The following is an 8,447-nucleotide window of genomic DNA, read 5'->3' as shown; positions in this document are numbered from 1 at the left end:
TGACAGCAGAAGCCCGGGATAACGGGGCCCTGCAGAGCCAGACTGGTTCTATTCACTTCCTCTTTAAGGCCCACCTCCCTCCCTGTGCCCTGATCCTTGGATATCTGCATTTCCGCCAAACTTTCTTGAACTTCATATATATATATGATTGATTGGTTGATTGATTAACTAATTGAGACGGAGTTTCGCTCTTGTCGCCCAGGCTGAAGGTGCAATGGCGCGATCTCGGCCCACTGCAACCTCTGTCTCCCGGGTTCAAGCGATTTTCCTGCCTCAGCCTCCTGAGTAGCTGGGATTACAGGCACCTGCCACCACGCCCAGCTAATTTTTGTTATTTTTAGTAGAGACAGGGTTTCACCATGTTAGTCAGGCTGGTCTCGAACTCCTGACCTCAGGTGATCCGCCCGCCTCGGCCTCCCAAAGTGCTGGGATTACGTGAGCCGCCGCGCCTGGCCTCTTTCCTGAACTTTAGAAAGGGCACTGACCTCTCCTTCACTCAATGGGCTTTCTCTGCTCCTTCCTCCTGCATCAGGTCACAAGTGTATGCAGGAAATTCCAGACTCAGTGTCTGCTGGGGCGATCTGTTTGCCTCAGAGCAGGAGGGGAACCGAGACCAGGCCAGGCACGACTAGACCAGGAAAGAGAGACAGATGTCCTCCAGGGGGACAGGAGTAGGGGATGAGGCATGGACAAAGCTTCCTCACACATCTACCATCTCTCCTCACAGTATGGGAACACTCCCTCCTTCCAGAACTTCATTTTCAACAGCAGGAGACTATCCCTTGGAGTCAGTTTAAGCTTCTAACCTAAATAAACTGTCAACTTCGTAAACCCTTTCACCAGGTGATGTTCCAAACAATTCTCGCACACTGACCTTCACAGATTTTCTTCATATATACAAATTACCGCCTGAACCCAGTGACCCTATGCATGCCAAAACCAAAAACACTGCCCTCCAAATGGCCCCAGGCTCCTGAGGTCCAACCTCAGACATGACAGAACACCTCCCCCTCTGCATGCCCCCTGTCCGCCACCCCAAATGCATCTGCACTTGGGTCTCCTGTGTTCCAGGGCTCTGCAGCTTCTCAGAATCCACTCCTGGAGCTGCTCAGAAACACCCAAGGGAGCTCATTTTCCTTCCCTTTGCAGGCTCCAGGCTGGTCTTGGGCTCTGCTGCCCCCTGCAGGTTATTCACCTACTTCTCTCCCCCACTGATCACGTCCACCAGACCAACATCTACAATCTCACTGTGTGAATAAGACACTAGCAGAATCCCTGCTTTCCTTCTGTATGTACATATAAACTGGGAGAGAAAAAACTAAGATAATTTAACTGCATTAAAAGACTTCCAAATCGCAGTGGCGGCGGTGGCTGAGGCACTAGCAGTCAGGGACACTAGAGATACCAGTGGTGGAGTGGGGCTGGGCTGGGAATGGGTTGGGGAAGGGGCTGCAGGGACAGATAGCTGCCTGGACTCAGCAGCAGTGCAGCTGTACAGCCTAAGGCACCTGGCAAGCAGAGCTGGGGGCTTCTGGGAAATGACTGTGGGGAAGAAAAAGGAGTCAGGCTTGATGGAGCCTGGAGCTGTGGGAGCTGATGCAGACTTATGACAGCTGCTACTATCATAAGTAAGCCCGATTGAGATGTGAGAACTTGGATTCCTTGGCAATTTATGAAGAGGAAGACTGATGACAAAGAAGTCATTGATGAAGAGGAGGATGAGGATCATTGACATGCTTGTCCCACTATGCAAACAAAAGGGGAAAGCGCAGCAACTTCTGCAACATGGGGTGAAAGGATGCAGGGGACTCTCATTGTCAGGTAATATACTGCTGCAGAACAATCAGAGGTTGCAAAACCTTTCAATAAATACCTGGAAGGCCAGTTGCCATGGCTCACATCTGTAATCCCAGAAGTTTGGGAGGCCAAGGGGAGCGGATCGCTTGAAGCTGGGAGTTGGAGACAGCCTGACCAGAGCAAGACCAGCCTGGGCAAAAGAGTGAGACCCTGTCTCTATAAACAAACAAACAAACAAACAAAAAGAAGGTCGGGCGCGGTGGCTCATGCCTGTAATCACAGCACTTTGGGAGGCTGAGGCAGGCGGATCACCTGAGGTCGGGAGTTCCAGACCAGTGTGACAAACATGGAGAAACCCCGTCTCTACTAAAAATACAAAATTAGCCAGGCATAGTGGCACATACCTGTAATGCCAGCTACTCGGGAGGCTGAGGGAGGAGAATCTCTTGAATCTGGGAGGCGGAGATTTCTGTGAGCTGAGGTCGTGCCATTGCACTTCAGCCTGGGCAACAAGAGCGCAACTCCATCTCAAAAAAAAAAAAAAAGAGAGAGAGAGAAATTAGCCTGGCAAGGTGGCCTGTGCCTGTAGTCCCAAGCTACTCAAGAGGCTGCAGTGGGAGGATCACTTGAACCCAGTAGTCCGAGGCTGCAGAGAGCTAGGATCAGGCCACTGTACTCCAGCCTGGGCCACAAAATGAAACCAAGCCGGGCGTGGCTCACACCTGTAATCCCAGCACTTTGGAAGGCCAAGGTGGATGGATCACGAGGTCAGGAGATTGAGCCCATCCTGGCTAACACAGTGAAACCCCGTCTCTACTAAAAATACAAAAAATTAGCCGGGTGTGGTGGTAGGCGCCTGTAGTCCCAGCTACTCCAGAGGCTGAGGCAGTAGAATCGCTTGAACCTGGGAGGTGGAGGTTACAGTGAGCCGAGACTGCGCCACTGCACTCCAGCCTGGGAGACGGAGCAAGACTCTGTCTCAAAAAAAAAAAAAAAAAGGCCGGGCGCAGTGGCTCACACCTGTAATCCCAGCACTTTGGGAGGCCGAGGCGGGTGGATCACCTGAGGTCAGGAGTTCAAGACCAGCCTGGCCAACATGGTGAAACCCCATCTCTACTAAAAATACAAAAAATTAGCTGGACATGGTGGTGGGCACCTGTAATCCCAGCTACTTGGGAGGCTGAGGCAGGAGAATCACTTGAACCCAGGAGGCGGTGGAGGTTACAGTGAGCTGAGATGGCACCATTGCACTCCAGGCTGGACAACAGAGTGAAACACTGTCTCAAAAAAAAAAAAAAAAGAAATGAAACCATCCTACCTGGGGATTCCCGGGACCACTTGGATCATCCAATTGTGGGACACAGTGTGATGGTATTCCCTTATGGACTAGATCATTCTACCCATAAGAGATGCTTGGCCTGCTGAAGATTTACCAGAAGAGATGACGTCCTAGCAGTCAACGGAAGAAATGCTGATGAAGCCATCCCTTTAAATTTTGTCAAATTAATCAATGATGGAGGGAGGGAGAAAATTGAAATAAACAAAGCTTGCTGCACATTCAGCATTAATTATTAGGTCAGCTTGCTCTCTGACCCCCCCGCCAAATTTTTTTTTTATTTTTTTGAAATAGAGATGGGGTCTCACTATGTTACCCAGAATAGTCTCAAACTCCTGGGATCAAGCAATTCGCTTGCCTCAGCCTCCCAAAGTACTGGGATTACAGGCATGAGCCCCCATGCCTGGCCCCCTTCATAGTTGTTTGATGCCTAGCGTCCTAGAATCCTGTAAACCCTAGATGATAATTCCCCTTAACTGCTCTATAGATAAAAACTTGAACATTAAAAAATGTTAATTTTTCCCTTTGAGATATTATTTCAGGTCCTGCATAACAGTGAAACTACTGACTTCAGCTGCTCTGAAGGACCCCAGTAGTAGCTGACTCACCAAAGAAGGTAGTTTTCACATCCTGATGATTTCATTGCCTGTACTTCAATCAACCACCTCAATTTTTCAGCCTCTTGCATGCCACAATCCCCTTAAAAATCCCAGCCTAGTGTGGGTCCAAGTGCAGTGGTGTTTACAACTAATTGATCACAACCAGTTACAGATGTCTTTGTTTCTCCTCCATTCCCACTGCTTCAATTGACTAGTCCAAAAAACAAAAAATCCAGCCCAGAACTTTTTGAGGAGTTGGATTTGAGGGCCCCTCTCATCTGCTTGCTGGGTCACCCCATGATCATTAAACTCTTTCTGTGCTGCAAATCTTGCTGTCTCAGTGTATTGGTCTGTTACTGCACAGTGTGCATATGAACCTGGTGATTCTGTAACCCTGGGGCTTCTTGGAGGTTGAGGAAGGAGGCAAGCCATCTAGGAGTGGCTTTCCATGGGACCAGTAAAGCAGTTTGTACTGCCCAGATTTAAAAAATGCTACAGGGTGCACCAGAGGAATGGCATGGCCCTTTGCTATCTTTCTCGAGTCCTATAGTGGGACAATGTGTATATGATGTGGGAGAAGCACTGCAGATTTGGAGAAATTTAGAAACTCAGGAACAGGGTAAACTCGGTAATCCAACAAGGGCTAACAAAGGGAAAAAAGAAAAATCAACAGAAAGAAAAGGGGAGATAGGGAAAGGGACCAATAGGAGTCACCCATGAGCAAATGTGGCATAATTTGTTGGGGGCAGAAACACCCTGAAGAGAAACAGACAAACAACCTAAGACTTTATTAGTACCCTTATGGTAGAAACTACAGCCTAAACTGCAGTTTCATCCCTTCCCTTCTGCCTCTATGGAAGAATAGGAAGATGACTCAATCTTTCATTTGATCGTCCCACTCTACCAGGAGTGGATTCCACCATAGCTCAGAGATTAGGACTGGGGCAAGGTCAACCCCATGTTCAAGCAATAGGTGGAAACCAGAGGTCCCATATCAAGCTCACCATTTCTTGTTGCCCCCCCAAATAAAAAGATTATTACCTTAGTAATAGTCTGTAATCCTATTACAGGGTGGAATGTACTTTCATCTCTGGAAATCCAGAAACAAATCCTGAACAGTGGCCTGACACTGATGATTATAGAGGACAAATGACTCAGATAAAAAGGACTTTAATACATCTAGGTATTGGGAAGCTCCCCAACCCATATATGGCATTTATTACCCCTATTTTAGAAAACATTTTAGGCATGGATATTCTGTTAGGAAAGACTTCGCAAACTTGAGTGGGAGAATTCAGCTTGAACGTGCTGTAGTAAAGGCTGTTCTCAAGGACAGGCAAAATGGGAACCTGAACAGCTTTCTGCTCCTAGGCGAGTTGTCAAGTTTAAAGAGTACAAATTATTAGGCTGGGCTCAGTGACTCACGCCTGTAATCCCAGCACTTTGGGATGCTGAGGTGGGTGGATTGCCTGAGGTCAGGAGTTCGAGACCAGCCTGGCCAACATGGCAAAACCCCATCTCTACTAAAAATACAAAAATTAGCTGGGTGTGGTGGCGCACATCTGTAGTCCCAGGTACTCGGGAGGCTGATAGCTTGAACCCAGGAGGCGGATAGCTTGAACCTGGGAGGAGGAGATTGCAGTGAGCCGAGATACCACCACTGCACTCCAGTCTGGGCGACAGAGCAAGATTCCATCTCAAAAATAAATAAATAAATAAATAAATAAATAAATAATAGTACAAATTATTTTGGGCGGGGGGGCTGTGGAGGACATGATGAAATAAGTACAACTAGGCCGGGTGTGGTGGCTCACACCTGTAATCCCAGCACTTTGGGAGGCCGAGGTGGGTGAATCACGAGGTCAGGAGATCGAGACCATCCTGGCTAACACGGTGAAACCCCGTCTCTACTAAAAATACAAAAAAAAAAAAAAAAAAATTAGCCACGTGCGGTGGTGGGCGCATGTAGTCCCCGCTACTCGGGAGGGTGAGGCAGGAGAATGGCGTGAACCCGGGAGGTGGAGCTTGCAGTGAGCCGGGATCACACCACTGCACGCCAGCCTGGGCGACAGAATGAGACTCCGTCTCAAAAAAAAAAAGAAATAAGTGCAACTATTGAGGCACTGGTAAGTGGACACATTATCCACCCAGCTCAAACTCATTTTAACAGTCTCTCTGGCCTGAACACAAACCAAACAGTACCTGGTGGATGACTGCAGATTACCAGGAATTGACCAAGGTAACCCCCAACCATACATCCTGTAGTTCCTATTACTCAGGTAGCTGATCACATAGTGTCCCTGCTGGGGATGCATCACAGTGCGTTAGATTTAGCTAATGTTTTTTTCAGCATTCCTCTCTCTAAATAATCACAAGACCAATTTGCTTTTACCCTGCCAGGCTGCTACTGGAATAAAAGGGTTCATGTTCAGCTCTCCACTTACTGGTCCCCCAAAATAGAGAGAAGACTGTCACATTAGTAGATGCTATGGTGGAGTGTGTTTTAATCCATGGAAGTCCAGAAAGATGCCCTGGTGAGTCGGCTGCCATTCAAGGGTTGCTCCAGGGTTATCTCCAAAGTCCTAGGATTTGTCACAGAATGTTGGCTAGAGGCTTGTCTTTGTTCCCATTCCTGTCATCTTTCATGGTTTAATTTTATATATTTTTTTATTTCATTATTTATTATTTTATCTATCTATCTAATTTATTTTGACAGGGTGGGTCTTGCTGTGTCACTCAGGCTAGAGTGCAGTGATGCAGTCATACCTCGCTACAGCCTTGAACACCTGGGCTGAAGTGATTCTCATGCATCAGCCTCTTGAGTCACTGGGACTACAGGCATGAGCCATCTGACCTGGCCCTGGTTTCATTATATTGATGACATCACGTTAACCTCTGAAGACTGTAATGTGTTACAGGAAAGTCTTATACCATTGTGTGCTCGTCTACAGGAATGGGGATGGGCAATCAACCCTCAGGAAATCCAGGGACCACGGCCCGCAGTGAAATTTTTAGGAGTGATATAGTCAGGTAAGACACATTGATATCAGGCATGGTAATTGACAAAGTCCAACACTTTCCTAAAAATATCATTCAATTTACAAAACCTCATTTAGCTCATGTGTAGATAACTCATATATATTTATTCTTTAAGTATAGATACCCATAACAAAGAGAGTGATGACTATGCAAAATTATACTGGGATAAAGGAATAATAAACTGTCCTTAGGAAACCAAGTAGTCACATGATATTTGATGCATTTACATATATGAGGGCTTTTATAAGGAGCTTGTGCTTGCCTAACAATAGAGTATCACACAGAAGCCATAATTCCATCTTACTTACCAGTTACTTGTTCACAAGTGGTCATAGTTCTCTTTCCATATAAACCTAAGTTGTGTGTTAAAGTGATTGTCAAAAATTAAATTTAACCTTTTTTTTTTTTTAGATGGAGTCTCGCTCTGTCTCCCAAGCTGGAGTGCACCGGCATGATCTTGGCTCACTGCAACCTCTACCTCCCAGGTTCAAGGGTTTCTCCTGCTTCAGCCTCCCGAGTAGCTGGGATTACAGGCGCCCACCACCACGCCCGGCTAATTTTGTATCTTTAGTAGAGACGGGGTTTCACCATATTGGCCAGGCTGGTCTCGAACTCCTGACCTTGTGATCTGCCCGCCTTGGCCTTTTATATCATTTGCCTATTGTATATGTCCTACCATGGTCAAAGTAATACAAGAAAGGCATATACAAATGCCAGGTGTGGTGGCTTATGCCAGTAATCCCAACAATTTGTGAAGCCCAGATGGGTGTATCACTTGAGGTCAGGAGTTCGAGACCAGCCTGGCCAACATGGTGAAACCATGTCTTTACTAAAAATAGAAAAATTAGCCAGGTGTCGTGTTGGCCACCTGTATCCCAGCTACTTGGGAGGCTGAGGCAGGAGAATCACATGAACCTGGGAGATGGAGGCTGCAGTGAGCCAAGATCTTACCACTGCACTATAGCCTGGGTGAGAGAGCCAGACTCCGTCTCAAAAAAAAAAAAAAAGAAAAAAAGAAGAAAGTACATACAAAATTCCTTTCAACACCACAATAAAAGTTAAATTTGGCTGTTTGAAATGGCTCAAGCCTATAATCCTAGCACTGTGAGGCTGAGGGAGGAGACCTGCTTGAGGCTAAAAGTTAAAGAGCAGCCTGGGACCACAGTTAGATCACATCTCCACAGAAAATTTTTAAAATCTGGCAGGACATGGTGGCTCACGCCTGTAATCCCAGTAATTTGGGAGGCCGAGGTGGATGGATCACTTGAAGCTAGGAGTTTGAGACCATCCTGGCCAACATGGTGAAACCTCATCTCTACTAAAAATACAAAAATGAGCCAGGCATGGTGGCGTGGCAGCTTCCTGTAATCCCAGCTACTTGGGAGGCTGAGGCAGGAGAATCGCTTGAATCCAGAAGGTGGAGGTTGCAGTGAGCAGAGACTGTGCCAGTGTAGACTCCATCTTAAAAAAAAAAACAAAACAGTTACCTGGGCATGGTGGTGTATGCTTGTAGTCCCACATATGTTGGAGGCTGAGGCGAGAGAATCACTTGAGCCCAAGAGTTAAGGATGCAGTGAGCTATGATCCCACCATTATACCCTAGCCTGAACAACCACCGTGTCTGGCCCAAATTTAGTAAATGTTTCTGAATAAAACATTGTGATACTGCAAACAAA

The 8,447-nt window shown here is 46.8% G+C and overlaps 1 annotated feature.

Annotated features, from left to right (window-relative positions):
* Window positions 26-85: a silencer, noted in NCBI's record as "silent region_10142". NCBI's record gives its function as "represses an Ori minimal core promoter by ATAC-STARR-seq in GM12878 lymphoblastoid cells {active_cell/tissue: GM12878}" and the evidence as "EXISTENCE:reporter gene assay evidence [ECO:0000049][PMID:35858748]".

This window comes from Homo sapiens, chromosome 19 (assembly GCF_000001405.40).
Source record: "Homo sapiens chromosome 19, GRCh38.p14 Primary Assembly".
Classification (NCBI taxonomy): Eukaryota; Metazoa; Chordata; class Mammalia; order Primates; family Hominidae; genus Homo; species Homo sapiens.
This window is presented reverse-complemented; position numbering and strand designations above follow the sequence as displayed.